Here is a 17,408-nt window from a genome sequence, read left to right on the forward strand (position 1 = left end):
TTTTGGAATGTTGTGTTTTTTTTTTTTAACTAGTTTATTTTGCAAATATATTTGTAAGTTTTCCACTGATATCTTAAAGTTAGGTATGATTATTAATTCAAGCTGGCCTTGTGCCCCTATAAAATGACAGTGTCTGTTCTTGGGAAACTCCACGGCTAGATAGACTACAAACTTGTAAACATACTGTTGTAGAGTCAGAAAGTAGTATGTAAAAGCCAATTTAAAATGTGGTATCATAAAGGAGTGGTCACTGCCCTTTTCTGGAGTTTTAATTAAATCTTCACACACAAAGATGAGGCCAAGCATGGTGGCTCACACCTGTAATCCCAGCACTTTGGGAGGCCAGGGTGGGAGGATCACTTGAGCCCAGGCATTCAAGACCAGACTGGCCAGCATAGTGAGACCCTGTCTCTATAAAATAAAAAAAAATTAGCCAGGTGTGGTTATGAGCACCTGTAGTCCCAGCTACTCAAGAGGCAGAGGTGAGGGGATCATTTGAGCCCGTCAGGTGAAGGCTGCAGTGAGCACAGGTTGAGGCACTGTGATCACGCCTCTGCACTCCAGCCTGGGCTACAGAGTGAGACCCTATCTCAAAAACAAAGCAAAACATAAGTAAAGCTGAGTTTTGAATCACTGGAATTTGACATACCAAGTCGAGGAGGAAAAGCTTTGCACCTAATGAGGATGGAATGCAAAGGCACAACAGGTGAAAGAGTCTCATCTTATTTGAACAAATAATGTATTTGATTGGAGAATGGGTAGAGGATAGCCAGAGTTGAAGCCATAGAAGTAGGTAGAGGTAGATTGTCATGCTAAAGAGTTTTTACAAAATCCTGTATGCCAAAAGTATAGTATTTAGCCAGAAGTGATTTTTAAAGAAGATAATGAGAATGTGATAGATACATGACTTTAGTTTTATTTTACACTGAAAATCAGTAGCAGCTACATGATGGAGAAAACCATTTTTCTAGTTTGTCTTTCTCTTTTGAAAAATTATAAAAAATAATGTAAAAGCAAATACATAATCATTATAAAGATAACAGTTTGTATTCTATCACTGTCGTCTGGGTACTTATTTTTCAGCGTATTAGTAGTATCACAACTAAAATCTCAAATAAGAAAGTTAAGCCTCTTCCTTACCCTGCTTCTCCCACAACTTCTATTATGAAAATGTTTATGCAGAAAAGTTGAGACTTCTACAGTGAACATGTGTATATCTATGTGGTAGATAGATATAATTAACACTTTTCTGTTCTTGTTTTATGACATGTCCATCTAGTCATCCCTTACTACGTTAATTCATCTTATTTTTTGATGCATTTTAAAGTCGATTGTAGACGCCTGGTATACTTCTAAACACTTCAGTGGGCATATTATTAACTAGAGTTCAATATTTGTTTACAGTTTATTTTCTTTTGAGGGCTTGTTTGGAGGTTCTAGCAGGGGAGCACAGCTACTTGTATACCCTTGAACCAAGATCGGTCCTCCTCTATTGGGGATGGTCGTCCTCTTTCACCCAGTGTGCAGCTTTGGAAGGGATGCGCATGGAGCGATGAGGGAGGAAGTGGACACCCACCTAGCCAGCCAGATCAGCCCAGTTACCCCTGGCGATCAATGGGGTGACAGATGTCGCAGCCAGATCACCCTCACATTCTTTCTTTTGAAATAAAATTTACTACAATGAAATACATAAATCTTAAGTATATAAAATTTGAAAACTACATATCCCTTTCTAACCAAAATCCCCATGAAGACATAGTAGAAATGGTATCAGCACCTTAGGAAAGTTCCCTCATGTTCTTTCACAGTTAGTCCCTACCTCTTCCCCCTCAAATGTAACCATTGTTCTGATTTTTCCTAGCATAGATTAATTTTACCTGTTCTAGGACTTCATGTAAATGGAGTAATGCACTATATACTCTTATGTGAGGCTTCTTTCATTCAGGATCTTATTTTGAGACTCATCCATCCTGGTGCTTGCATCAATAGTTTGTTTCTTTTTAACATTGCATTGTATGAGTATAACAAGTTATTTATCGATTTTCCTGATAATCGATAATATAAATAATCGATAAACAACACCTGGGTTGTTTCCAGTTTTTGTCTATTAAGAATAAAGCTGCTATGAACATTCTTTTTATGAAGGATCTTTTTTTAACTTGATTTTTTAAATGTCTTCTATTTATATCGAACCTGTATATAGATCACTCTTACCCAGTAATATCTTCCATAGTCTCCCCTTTTGTGCATACCTGGAAATAGTGTAGTGTATTTAAAAAGACATTGAGCTAGGCTGGGCGTGGTGGTTCATGCCTGTAATCCCAGCACTTAGGCCGAGGTGGGTGGATCACCTGAAGCCAGGAGTTCGAGACCAGCCTGGCCAACGTGGCGAAACCCTGTCTCTACTAAAAATACAAAAACTAGCCAGGCATGGTGACGCATGCCTGTAATCCCAGCTACTCAGGAGGCAGAGGCAGGAGAATTGCTTGAACCTGGGAGGCAGAGGTTGAGTGAGCCGAGATTGCGCCACTGCACTCCAGCCTGGGCGACAGAGCAAGACTCCGTCTCAAAAAAAAAAAAAAAAAAAGAATACACATTGAGCTACAAAATCTAGTAGGGAGTATCCTAATCTTCATGTTCCTACCGCAGGGTCTTTGGTAAATACTCTTTATTCTCTTTCTCATCCCTGTAAGAGGGATTCAGCATAATGTCACATGGTTTTTGTCTTAAGTACTTCTCTGGAGTAATCTGTTGAGGATTTGAGGCTACATCAGCCTAGCAAAAATCACTTCTGTGATCAGTTAGCTAGTAAAACTTCCACAGGCCACTTACTAAGTATTTGCCATCCTTGAACCAGTCCAATCTTAAGCTTTTTGCCATTTTATGTTTCTGCTGTAATTTTAGACTAGTTCATTTTTACTTGAGTTACCAAATCTTCTCAAGTGTTTTTCTCTTCTTTCCCTAGAAAATGGAATCCTAATGGAATTTCTTAACCCTGAGGCTAACATTTTTGTGTTTTTTTCTTAACTCTCTATAGATCTAGTTTCCTATAACACTATCAATCATTTACCATTTCTCCTCATGACATTGGTTTCAAAAGTCTCAGCTTAACTTTCTTAATTATGTCATTCCTTCCTTTTTCTCTTTCTTTCAGAGCCTTATAAATAACCTTGATTTAGGTAGGGATCAGAATTTTAATGTCATTTTTCTCTACCTATTATCAATTAAAATTTTGAATTATATCAAAGCTTTGGACATTTGTTTCCCTCTTTGTTATGATGGTAGAGAAAATGTGACATAGACATGATGTTATAGGTATGGTGAAGAGAAGAGTGTGATTACATAATCAGGATGAAATGATATTGTTTTTTTAAATGTCAGTCTCCAGGATGCAGCAGAAAACTAATTAGATACATGTTTGAGCAAAATAATGTGCAAAGATACTGTGTGGCTTAAAAAGATTAATGAAGTATGTTTATAAGGAAAAAGCTTTCCTTTGGGTACATTATCAAATTTAGTAAGGCCAAAAAAGCTTGTAGGGGCTTATGTTTTAAGACTGCTTTACTGTAAATTAAGTTTTTCAAATAATTGGTTGTGTGTTTCAGACAACTGTGTTTATTTTCCGAATTCCAAAATGTCTGCCTTCTTTTTATAGTGTCACATCATAGCTCTTCAACAAAGTAACTTAGCCTTCATAAAAATAATACCTGGATGCTCTGGACTGGAGCAGCTGCTCTGTAACCTCAGATTTTAGATCTCGGGAGAAAAAAAGCACTTTTTAGTTACTCTCTGGCCAGAGGCTAAGTCCTTAATTGTTCTATATCTGTGTATGAATCATTATCTCTGTGTCACAAAGGTAATGCCATTTTCAGAGATGACATAGTGACAATGTCTCTTCCTCCGACCCCTGTAATTTCATTTTTTTATGTGTCATATAGTTTTATGTTTCTCATGTAATTCATTAATCCAGGAAACATTTATTAAGCCCTTGTGTAGTTTCTAGATGCTGGGAAAACACATGACTAAAACGTAATTTCTGCTCTTCCCAGAGCTGGCAATACAATGGGGGAACAGAAGTACAAATAACAATAAAATGAGAGCTGTGAAAACTCTAGGGATTAATTGTGCCTAGAGTGGGGCAGAGGCAGCTTCTTAACAAAGAAGAGTTTGAATTCACCACATAGGCAGAGCTTCACTTGTGAAAAGAACAGCATATGTGAGGGTAAAAGAGAGAACACATGAAGAAATGAACCTTTTTGAGGTAAAGTTTAAGTGGAAGTAAGATTGAAACAGGAACTTCTGCTTGCCAAAAGATGGAATTTAATTAGAGTATTAGAATGACAAAGTCATGATTTTTAACTAGATCACTTTTTCAGTAGTGGGGAAGGATTTAAGGGGAGCAAAATTGGGATAGAGGACATCAGTTTAGGCAAGAGTTAAGCGTCAGAAATGTAGTGGCAGTGGGTTTGGAGAAGACAGAGTGAACTTAAGAGCTATTTAGAAGTAAAGATGAAGGGACAAGGAGTAGTCATCGATTATTTAAATTTCTAGCTTTGGTGTCTAGGAAAATAGACGTGCAAACAATGAGAGGGTGATGATCACTTAGTGAAACTTTGTGATTGCACTAAGCAAGAATAATTATAGGTTTCTTAAGATGGTGTTGTATATCAAATTAAATATTATATAATATTGATTTTTATGTCTACATAATCTTATTTTTAAAAACCAAATGATAAAAGAATATTAAATATAGGAAACTAGAAGTATTTAACAAAGCTGTGTTTGTGCAGGTTATTTTGGTTTACAGATTCTTCACTTATGTTTTAGAAACATGTTTGGCCTCTTGGATACTTAATCCTTTGCTGATAAAGTCAGATTATGGTAAATTTTAAATTGGCCTGTTTTGGAGTTCATCAAATCATTTAAACATTATAATTATATTTGTAATGAAAATTATTAAATTTACATAAAAAATATCGAGAAAAATTCTCTTGCGTGTTCCAAAGTTAGAAAATTAGCTTGTGGCAGGCTTAGTTTAGTTTCGTTTACCCAAACAATTGTACTGTTTGAATTCAGATTTTTCTCATTACTACTCTTAGAGTAAGTGACTTGGAAAAAAAGAAGGAAACCAGCCTGGGCAACATAGGGAGACCCTGTCTCTACAAATAATAAAAAAATTAGCTGAGTGTGGTGGCACGTACCTGTAGTCACAGCTAGTTTGGAGGCTGAGGTGAGAAGATCACTTGAGCTAAGGTGTTTGAGATTAGAGTGAGCTATGAGCATGCCACTGAACTCCGGCCTAGGTGACAGAATGAGACCTTGTCTCCCCAAAAAAAAAAAAAAAAAAAAAAAAAAGGGGAATTGTGAGTATGTGAGTGGTTAGGCACAGGAAGGGCTTCTGTTACCTTAGTAGAACAAAATAAAGTGAAGAGGATATTGATACACTTGATGAAGTGGTCCATATGTGGAGATCCTGCTGAGGAGTGAAAAATAAATAAGAGAAGAGTAATCCAGGATATAATTATTGGTTTAGTCTTATGTTCTGATTATTTTTTTGCTGAAACACTAGCTTATTTTAACTAAAACTTAAAGTTTATTTTTTTCTCCTTCCTTTAGAACGTATAATGAAGAAAACAGAAGAGTCCGAATCACAAGTGGAGCCTGAAATTAAGAGGAAAGTACAACAGAAACGACACTGTAGTACCTATCAGCCTACTCCTCCTCTATCTCCTGCTTCAAAAAAATGTTTAACCCATTTAGAGGTAAGTAGAGAAATTATTCTTTGTTGCTAATCAGATTGTGTTTTGATTAATATTAGTTTCAGTACTTATTAAATTCTAGGTGATCTTTTATCATAGGACCAGAAGAGACTTGGAAAACTTATTTAGGCAGCTTTTTCTGCCTTCAGTAGACCATTTTTATGCTTGTTCAAAATATAGAATTTATTTTTCTGTAAAGAATTTATCAGTGCTTCCCTGCAACATACTTCAAATGATTGCTCTCTGCCAGAATTTTTTTCAAATAATTTTAAGAAGCCAAAAAGTTACAAAAAATAGTAGAAGAAAATCTATATATTTATCTCCCAGATTCCTTGTTGTTCACATTTGCTTTATTGTCCTCACTCTCTATGCCTTTTTCCCTCCTTCCTCCTGCCTACCCATAAACGTGTGTATATGTATTTTTTTGTACTATTTGAGTTGAAGTTGCAAGCATGATGCCCATTTACCATTTAATATTTAAGTATGTGTGTTTTTGGTTTTTTATAATCAGAATACATCTGTCAAAATCTCAAAGTTAACATTGATCTAAAATTACCATTTAATCCACAAGTCCCATTCAAATTTCAGCTAAATAATGTCCTTTATGCTTATAGAATTGAATTCAGGGTCATGTGCTGCATTGAATTGCTGCGAATCTTTAGTCTCTTTCAATAGAAATAATTTCACAGTCTTATCTTTTTCATAATCTTGGCATTTGTTGAGGAGTATAGGACACTTACTTTGTGCCTCAAATTGGGTTTGTCTGATGTTTGTAAATGATGTGTGTAGTTTTCAAGAATGCTTCAGAAATGATGCTGTAATCTTACTGCATTACATCAGGAGACATACGATGTTGATTTTCACATTAATGATATTTTACCTTAGTTAAGATGTTCTAGATTTCTTCACTGCAATGTCAGTTAATAGGTATTTGACTAATTCATTAATAAGATTTCTAACATGAGCTAGAAGTATTTCTTATTCCATATTTATATATTCATTTATATCAGCATGTACATATGAATACTTTACTTAAAAGGGTTATAGTCTGTAACTTTCATGATGTTTCATGACTTACCTTGATGCTTCAATTGTCCCAGATTCCATGTGAGTCCCTTCAAGCTGGCCTCTGTTTTTTCTGACATGTCCCTATCATTCTTTGAAGACATTCATGACATTCACTTCTCTGCTTTTTAGTATAACAAGATGGTCTTAACTTATCTTGTATTTCTTTTTTTTTTTCCCCGAGATGGAGTCTTGCTCTGTCACCCAGGCTGGAGTTGAGTGGAGCGATCTCGGCTCACTGTAGCCTCCACCTCCCGGTTCAAGCAGTTCTTCTGTCTCAGCCTCCTGAGTATCTGGGACTACAGGCATCTGCCACCATACCCGGCTTATTTTTGTATTTTAGTAGAGATGGCGTTTCACCATGTTGGCCAGGCTGGTCTTGAACTCCTGACCTCACGTGGTCCACCCACCTCAGCCTTCCAAAGTGCTGGGATTACAGGCGTGAGCCACCGCGCCTGGCCATTATTTTGTATTTCTGTCTCAGCCCTAGAGTCATTCATTTCTCTGAGGAGCCATGCATACAAGGAGAAGGAAATATCTTCTCCTTTAAGTGGAGGGAACATATTTGGGCACTAGTTATGTTCATTCACATGGGTATTATTGTTTCTCGGCCTTCTCAGTGGACAAAGCTAAGAAATACATGTGTGTGTATTAATATTTAATCTATATTAGAATCCATAAGTTCACACTGATAACTCTAATTCCAGTCCAACACTGAGTTTATTTAATTTTTCCCACGTTGCATGTTTGTAACTCCCTTCTCCAGAGGTAAGTAACTTGACTCCCATCACCCCTGGTGTATTTACCTGTTAGCTTAGTTTTTCTTTATGTGATAATGTCCTGCCATGCCAACCTAAGTTTGGCTCAGGCCATGCTGATATCACCTACTGCTTAGCCTAGGTAAAGGAGGAGGAAAGCTCCTCCCTAAATACAACATCTTTTGTCCACTGGACATGCCCACTGAAAACCTCTGTTTGTTTGTTTTTAAAGTTCAGGGGTACATGTACAGGATGTGCAGGTTTGTTACATAGGTAAACGTGTGCCGTGGTGGTTGCTGCACAGATCATCACATCACCTAGGTATTAAACACAGCAATAATTGTTTTTTAATAGAAGTCTTCCTTCTTTTACTCTATTCCTATGCCAATTGTTCTTACTTTCTTCTTAGTGGAGATAAAGAATTGTAGCCAGCCTCTATGTAAACTTTAATTCCTAGACAAGGTTAGTGGTTTTTTCTTTCCATGTATAGTCTCTGAAATTCTACACTATGTACCACTTGTAAGAAAACAAGATCTGTGGGCCGGGCACAGTGGCTCATGCCTGTAATCCCAGCACTTTGGCAGGCCGAGGCAGGTGGTGGATCACCTGAGGTCAGGAGTTTGAAACCAGTCTGGCCAATATGGTGAAATCCCGTCTCTACTAAAAAAACAAAAATTAGCTGAGCATGGTGGTGGGCACCTGTAGTCCCAGCTACTTGGGAGGCCGAGGCGGGAGAATCTGTTGAACCCTGGAGGCAGAGGTTGCAGTGAGCCAAGATTGCGCCATTGCACTCCAGCCTGGGCAACAAGAGTGAATCTCCTTCTCAAAATAAATAAATAAATAAATAAATAAAACAAGATCTGTGAATTTAATGGGATTAACATCTTTAGGATATTTAGTAAAAATGACATAGTCTCAAAGACAGACTTATTAAGTGCAGTTGGTTATTTATGGGTAGAGTCTTGCAGATAGTATGTGATATGTAATTTGGAATTATTTAATTTTGTAAAACGCCTTCCACTTCTACTGACCAAAGCAGGGAATGAGATTTTAATCAGTTTTTTTTTTCTCTTCAATTTTTTTTGTTTGGAGAGATTGGATGTCGCTATGTTGCCCAGGCTGGTCTTGAACTCTTGGCCCTAAAGAGTCCTACTGCGTCAGCCTCCCAATGTGTTGGGCTTACAGACCTGAGCCACCATGTCCAGGTTTAGTCAGTTTTTGTTTTCCAAAAGAAACTACACTTAACATAAAATTTTTATGAAAATTTATTTACAGTATTCTCTACTAAAACAGAGCAGTATTGAGATTCTAGTTTTTAGAGAGTTAGGTTAATAAAATGTTAATCTCTAGTTTTTATCATGAAAATTTTTTTTATCTTATTCAGCATAGTGTATCTGCATTTTGTTCGTAATTCTCACAGAGTTCCAAGATAAATGTTTCTTAGCTGATGGAAGGCATATGGTAATAGCTCAGAACATACTTCTGTTCATATTTTAATATTGGGGATTTTAATAGTAGGAATGTGTTTTTTCTGTTTTAGTATCAATTTTATGAGAGGAAACAGCACTTTTCCATGGAATTCTTTTCATTTAGATTTGCCCTCTTTACCTTTATTATAGATACTAAAGTAATGGAGCCAGTCAGTACTCAGCTTGATCATATCCTCAGATTCTTGGAGACAGAATTATTTTATATATAGCTGACTGCTAGACTAGATAGTCTTGAAAATTTCTTCCAGCATTTTGATATTAAATCCCGACTAACATTACTTATTTAGGCTCTCATGGTAGCCATGATGGTAATGATGGGGAAGAGAGGGACTTAATTTTGAGACTTTGAGGGGATTCCTTAATGATGCAGTAAAATGCCAAAATCTTTTATTTCTTTTGTTCTTTTGGAACTTAAAGTTTATGAACACCGTGAATGTTCAAAATGTGGAAAGGAAAAAGAAAATCAGACCAAATGCCAAAGTTGTGGTGTTCTTTTTTCTAAGGATTTGCAAAGAAATTGCAGACAAGCTATTACTTTGAATGAGTCTACTGGACCATTATTAAGAACGTCAATTCATCAGAATTCTGGAGGACAGAAGTCACAAAACACAGGATTAACAACCAAGAAGTTTTATGGCAACAATGTGGAAAAGGTTCCAATTGATATTATTGTGAATTGTGATGACAGTAAACACACTTATTTACAGACTAATGGAAAAGTCATTTTACCTGGGGCAAAAATACCCAAAATCACAAACTTGAAAGAAAGGAAAACAAGTTTGTCAGACCTAAATGATCCAAGTAAGTATTTTACTCCCTTTAATATTGCTTATATCAATCCAGTATTTTTCAGATATATTTTTACAACCACTCTCCCCAACCCCATATATATTTTTAATATAAATGTGAGCTTAAAACTAATCTTGTTCTCATCCTGTCCATCTTAAATAGTTAAAAAAAACAAAAAAAAGAACCACAGAACTTGACCCTAGTCTTAGATGAAGTGCTAGTTATAACCAGCATTCTGACTTCGGCCAGGTTAATTTAATCTTTCTGATCTGTAAATGGGTAGATTTCCTGCTGATAGTGGGTTTTTTTTTTTGTGGGGGGGGGGGTGCCTAAAATAACATAAAGTATGCATAGCCCAATAAAATATTTGACATACAATATCCTTACCACATTTGTTCCTAACTCTATATCCTGTCTTTTTACTCTTATGTGTATGTGTATGGCATGCAGTCCTTGTTTATAATAAATAGCAAAAGATTAGAAATTATTGGGGACTGGTTGACTAGAGTATACAGCGTGTATACTCTAAAGGAGTGAAAGATCTGATAAACTGTGTAATTTCCAAGATCCTTAATTAAGTGAATAATGCAAGCTACAGATAAGAGTGTATACTGTGGAGAATGAACATAATTTCTTCTAAAAAATAGAAATTGGGCACAGTGGTGTCCCAACTACTCAGGAGACTGAGATGAGAGAATTGCTTGAGTCCAGGAGTTGAAGTGTAGCCAGGGCAATATAGTAGGACCCTGTTGCTAAAAAAAAAAAACAATAATAATAATTATAAACAGAACACTAGGCTTTCCTTTTAATATATACTTGTGTAGTTTTTCATTAAAAATATAGTTCATGGGCCTTTTTAAAAAATCTATATACATGTACACACATACGTCTGTATGTATATATATATACATCTATATATGTCAGGTACTGTGCTAAGCATTTTACATACCATTTGTTCTTGCAACGATTCTGTGAAATAGATACCCTTATTGTCCCTAATTCTACAGAGAAGAGAAATTGAGCCAAATAACCAGTAAGTGGCAAAACCCCACCTCTCAAATGCTATATATGTAAATCTGTTTAGATCGTCTAATCTGGCCTGTTAGGTTTTCTGCTAATAAAAGACCAGTGTTGAAAGAGAAACCATGCTCAATATTTGTTCCTGAGACTGGACAGTAAAATTAAAAAGACAGGTAGAGAAATACTGAGATGATACTTCTCTGGGACATGTACATTACTCAGTAAAAATTAAGCATTTATGTTTGAAATACTAATAAAGTCAACGCATGACTTTTGAATGCTTTTTCTGTGTCAGGCTGTTTCAGGCCTGGGGATATAGCAGTGAATAAGACACTGTCCCTGTTCTCTTATAGTTTATGTGTAGCAGGGAGAAACAGATAAACAAGTGAACATCCGCAACAAGGAACAACAGAAAATTTAAATCAGTTAATTTGACTGTGTGTGTGCTTACTTTATTGGGTTATCAAAGTGATATTTAGGCTGGGCGCATTGGGTCATGCCTGTAATCCCAGCACTTTGGGAGGCTGAGGCGGGCGGATCACGAGGTCAGGAGATCAAGACCATCCTGGTTAACACGGTGAAACCCCGTCTCTACTAAAAATATAAAAAATTAGCCGGGCATGGTGGTGGGTGCCTGTAGTCCCAGCTACTCGGGAGGCTGAGGCAGGAGAATGGCATCAACCCAGGAGGTGGAGCTTGCAGTGAGCCAAGATCGCGCCACTGCGCTCCAGCCTGGGTGACAGAGTGAGACTCCGTCTCAAAAAAAAAAAAAAAAGTGATATTTAAACTAATACTTGGTGGCCAAAATGCATAATATTGAGGGAAGTAGAATTCAGGCAGGAGCAAGCTTGTGGTGTTTCAGGGACAGAAATACTGGCTAGTGTGCCTGGAGGATAAAGAGACAAAAACAGAATATTATGAGAAAATTGGATAAATAGGCAGGGGCCAGATTATGTAAATTTACAAACCATAGCAAGGAGTTTGTATTTGACTCAAATACAATGTGAGTGGCTTTGTGGAATTAAGATATAGAGATAGATTTGCTACGATTCAGTAATGAGTACAAGGTATAAGAGCAAATTACCATCATAGTGTCTTTTCTTGCTCACGTCCATTTACTCAACAAGACTTATTGAACATAAGGCACTGGTCCAGATTTTTCCAAGGACCAGTTAAGATTTTAGTAGCTTCCTGTGTGAGATAAAATTACTTGGCTACAGCCAGGTGCGGTGGCTCACGCCTGTAATCCCAACATTTTGGGAGGCTGAGGCAGGCGGATCACCTGAGGTCGGGAGTTCGAGACCAGCCTGGCCAACATGGAGAAACCCCATCTCTACTAAAAATACAAAAATTAGCTGGGTGTAGTGGTGCACACATGTAATCCCAGGTGCTGGGGAGGCTGAGGCAGGAGAATCACTTGAACCCAGGAGGCGGAGTTGCAGTGAGACAAGATCGCGCACTGTACTCCAGCCTGGGTGACAGAATGAGATTCCATCTCAAAATATATATATATTTTATATATATATGATATATAAAACGTATATATGATATATATAAAACGTATATATGATATATATAAAATGTATATATGATATATATAAAACGTATATATGATATATATAAAACATATATGATATATATATAAAACGTATATATGATATATATAAAACGTATATATGATATATATAAGTATGATATATATAAAATATGATATATAAAATATATATACGATATATATAAAATATATATTATATATATATACTTGACTACATGGAGTTTCACACATATTTACAATGCATTCTATTTTGTGAACAAGTTGTATGCAAATTATTTTTTACACCTTAAATTTTTTGGGACTCTGAAATAGACCTACTGTTCTTCTTGTAACTTGCTGATATTGCTGTTTGGGTGAGTGGTGATGGACTGTAAAATCAAATTTTATATTTGTATCATATTTTTTAAAAGATACCAAGTCTTAATGCTTTCTTCAGATTTAACTTTTTATCAGATAGAGTGGATTGTATCTTCATTCATTTTTATTAATTTTAGATCTGGAGGAGGTCCAAAGCAAATTTAGGATATTTTCCACTTTGGTAATTTATTTGCATTTTTAATGGACAGAAATGAAATATAAAATTATAACTATAGTTTTAATATAAATTATAAATTATTAAAATACTTTTAGTCATTTTGTCCAGTGATGATGATGATGACAACGACAGAACTAACAGAAGAGAAAGCATATCTCCTCAGCCTGCTGATTCAGCATGTTCTTCCCCTGCACCATCCACTGGAAAAGTAGAAGCAGCGCTAAATGAAAATACTTGCAGAGCAGAGCGTGAACTACGAAGCATTCCAGAAGACTCAGAGTTAAATACAGTTACATTGCCAAGAAAAGCAAGAATGAAAGACCAGGTACTTTTCACTTTTGTTGACATTTGTTCAGATTAATGCCTCCATTTTGGGGTGTAAATTTTTTTTAGAAGGCAGTTTGGTAGTGCCAAGAAAAAATGATGGATTATTAAGTGGGGCTTAAATACCACATGGGAGATTATTTGGAAGAACATTAAGCCATATACAAAAATAAGTTTCAATTAAACTTAAGGCTTGAAGTATAAAAAATTCAACAAGAAAACACAGTATCAACCTTAAAATAAAATGTCAGTATGTACAAAAATTTCTTATAAAATCTAGCAGAGGAGAGAAGTCATTTTGACAGAGATATATTTTACTGTAATACTATGTTTCATTATGTTTTATATTTTACTATAAAAATTTCAAAAAGTTCACATGGAAAAAGGTAATATGAACGATGTCAATAGACAGTGTATCTAGGACAACTATTTGTAATGCAGATGACATAGTATTTTAATGTCTGTAATAGACTGAGAACTCTTAAAAATTACAGGATAAAAACAAAATGAACAAAGGATAAGAATGGACAAAAAGAAAATTCATGTAGTAAACTACCACATGAAAAGTGCAAATTAAGGAAAATGAAATATAACTGTATTCAATGGACTTTAAAAATTGTTAAAAAATCAATTAATATGTGCTGTTGTCAAGAATCCAAGGGAAAGGACACTTTCCCAATTTGCTGATGGAAAAGAAAGTTACTATGATCTTTTGGGAAAGAAATGTAAAAATGACCATTAAAAAATTTTTAATGTGTACTATTTGACCAAATAATTAATTCCTTAGACTCCATCTTCCCCAGTACGTAAGGCTTTATATGCAAACATGATTATTGGCAAACAAAATCGTTGCCTGTTAATATGGATATGGCTGAAAAAGTTAAGGTATATCCATATGATGCAGCCATTGAAAATAAAAATTAGAACTTATATCAGTGACTTTTAGGAGTTCTGCATGGTACTGTTATGTGAGAGTACCAAAATAAGGAAATATGTGTATATTACTTTAGTATGAATGTTTTTATAAAATAATAAACTTGTATGTTAAATTCTATATGTATGTGTTTATACATGTCAGTGTTCATAGGAGTACAGATACAAATATGGGAACATATATACTTGGTTATTAAGATGGGAACCTTAAAAAATGAAAAACAACAAAAGCAATCATAAGGATAATAGAAAAATATATGGATTTACTTATTTACTTACTTATTTAAAGGGGGGATCTTGCTCTGTCACCCAGGCTGGCATTACAGGTGCAAGCCGCTGCACCCGGCTGGATTAATATTTTTATATAATCTTACAGAATGCCTTTCCCACATGGTAGCACGAGCAAAAGTAGTAAATGAAAAGATGAATATATTTGATTAAATGAAAAGTAGAACAGTGTAGCAAAACACTCTAAACACAATTTGATAGGTAGATGCAAATGGAAAAATAGTAAGCTATGTGACAAAGTGTAAAGTGGTCCTTTATATATTTTTAATTTTTAAAAAATAAAGAAATAGAGGCAAACCATAGGGAAATAAGGAAAGGAAATGAATAGAATTCAAAAAAAATAGTAATCCAAGTAGTGAAAATGAAATTAAAATACCTTTTGTGAACTTCAGATTGCTGAAAAATTTAAAACTATGATATTGTCTCAATCTTGATCAGTGTTTGGAGAAGTGGAATGTTGAATGTATAAGTTGGTGTAACTGTTGAGGGCAGTTTGGCAGTAATTCTAAATGTGTACCACAACTGGCTGGACTGCAAAAATGCTCTTTGAAGAATAGTTTGCTATCGCAAGAGATTGGAAAGAACTTAGATGTCCAGCATATGAGTTCAGTTAAATTAATGATGAATTTCCATGTAATGGAATTTTCAGATGAGCGGTTTTCAGACTGGCACACTGAATCATAAGGGTACCTCAGTGTGTACTGTCTTTGATGATGCTCCATGGAGGGTGTGGACCATTCATATTCTAGACTAAATCCTTTATTGTAGATTCAGCTGGAGCAGCTCTTTCCTGTTTTATTAGTGAGCTAAATAACCTCTCATTTGAAGATATAACTCTACAGCTAAAAACAAAACAAAACACTTTTAAACCTCTCTAACAGGTTTCTTTAATAATAAGGGAAAATAGGCCGGATGCGGTGGCTCACACCTGTAATCCCAGCACTTTCGGAGACTGAGGTGGGCAGATTGCCTGAGGTCAGGAGTTCGAGACCAGTCTGGCCAACATGGTGAAACTCTGTCTCTACTAAAAATACAAAAAAATTAGCCAGGCGTGGTGGTGTGTGCCTATAATCCCAGCTACTTGGGAGGCTGACGCAGGAGAATTGCTTGAACCCCCTAGGGAGGTGGAGGTTGCGGTGAGCTGAGATCATGCCACTGCACTCCAGCCTGTGCGACAGAGCGAGACTCCATCTCAAAAAATAATAATAATGGAAAATATTAATGATAAATCTGTTAATAAGCCTGAAAAAGCAGTTTACAAAATCATATGATCATATTTTGTTTAAAATACATTTTTTTTTTCCTGTGACATAGATGGTAGAAATACCTTTAGAAGGATAATGGGAATGGTGGACATTCTTTTCCCTTATTTTCTGTCAAGATATTGTTTTATTCTTGTGATGATAATAAAGATACTAATATAATTACTTGTAATTAAAATTACATACCTATATGAAGTGTTTATGATAAATTTCTATTTGGAAGTGACTGGAATCATAATTTAACAGATGAAAATAGTTTAAAATATGTAAATATATAAGGAAGGGTTATTTTGTAATGCAAATAACAATTCTCCTAAATTGCTTGCTTTCTAAAGAATTACTGATTTAATTCAAGTATCACTGCCACTATAACTAGCAGCATTTTACTGTGCATGAAGCAATCTGCTAAACTGCTTTTTATGCATTAACTCAGTTGAGTGGGTACTCTTACTCTGCATATTTTAGAGTTTAGGGAACCAAAACTTACGTAAGTTATTAAGTTTTACAAGATCAGATTTTTTTTTTTTAAGAAGGAATTTCGATCTTGTTGCCCAGGCTGGAGTGCGGTGGTGCGTTCTCAGCTCACTGCAACGTCCACCTCCCAGGTTTAAGCAGTTCTCCTGCCTCAGCCTCCTGAGTAGCCTCCTGAGTAGCCGGGATTACAGGCACCTGCCACCACACCCAGCTAATTTTTTGTACTTTTAGTAGAGACGAGGTTTCACTGTGTTGGGCAGGCTAGTCTCGAACTCCTGACCTCAGATGATCCGCCCATCTCGGCCTCCCAAAGTGCTGGGAGTACAGGTGTGAGCCACTGCTCCCGGCCAAGATCACATCTTTAAAAGGTGGTGTGGCTGTTTGAATCCAGGCAGTCTGATTCCCAGAGTACTATTCCTGAATGCCATACTATTACTCAAATTTAAATAACAACCAAAGTATAGCTAAATAAGATACAAGGATTTACTGTTATATAAAAACCATGAATTTTAATTTTATCTAACACTGTTGAAGGGAAATCCATTTTATGTTGTGATATTTACATTTCTTATATTGGGTCTTTGCATATGTTTATACTTAGCTTGCAGCCTTATTTTAGTAAATTATTAAGTGAACATTTTCTTTTCCTTTTTAGTTTGGCAATTCTATTATCAACACACCTCTGAAACGTCGTAAAGTGTTTTCTCAAGAACCTCCAGATGCTTTAGCTTTAAGCTGCCAAAGTTCCTTTGACAGTGTCATTTTAAACTGTCGAAGTATACGAGTAGGAACACTCTTCCGGCTGTTAATAGAGCCTGTAATTGTAAGTACATCTTAAGCTCTTTACTATACCAATTATAACATTAAAAATTCCGTTGCTAAAGCTAATATATAATATTTAAAATTTATAAGTTAAAATATTTAATAGAATATCAGTTAGTTCAAGATTTCACATTGCTTTAAGAGTATATAAATAGTAGCTCCTTGCCATTAAAATGAGTTAGAAAACCTTCCAATATGTTATTGTTTATTATCATGCCAGCTTCGTGCATGAAACTTTCAATGAGTTAGAAAACCTTCCAATATGTTAGTTTTAGTATCATCCCAGCTAAGTGCATGAAAAGAATATATTAAAGAACTGTAGTGAGTGAATGAA

General features: G+C 35.6%; 1 protein-coding gene and 1 pseudogene across 3 annotated transcripts in view; one reads left to right on the plus strand and one right to left on the minus strand.

Moving 5' to 3' along the window:
* Positions 1 to 17,408, plus strand: part of SENP6 (SUMO specific peptidase 6) — a 116,402-nt gene that overhangs the window by 51,766 nt on the left and 47,228 nt on the right. For all 3 annotated transcript variants that reach the window (NM_015571.4, NM_001100409.3, NM_001304792.2), the window contains 4 exons: positions 5,617 to 5,762; positions 9,576 to 9,873; positions 13,067 to 13,296; positions 16,908 to 17,075. In NM_015571.4, the coding sequence (NP_056386.2) occupies positions 5,617 to 5,762; positions 9,576 to 9,873; positions 13,067 to 13,296; positions 16,908 to 17,075 (842 nt within the window). The remainder of the gene's footprint in view (positions 1 to 5,616; positions 5,763 to 9,575; positions 9,874 to 13,066; positions 13,297 to 16,907; positions 17,076 to 17,408) is intronic.
* RN7SKP163 (RN7SK pseudogene 163) lies at positions 1,416 to 1,652 on the minus strand (annotated as a pseudogene).

The sequence above is a fragment of the Homo sapiens genome, chromosome 6 (assembly GCF_000001405.40).
Source record: "Homo sapiens chromosome 6, GRCh38.p14 Primary Assembly".
In the NCBI taxonomy this organism is placed as follows: domain Eukaryota; kingdom Metazoa; phylum Chordata; class Mammalia; order Primates; family Hominidae; genus Homo; species Homo sapiens.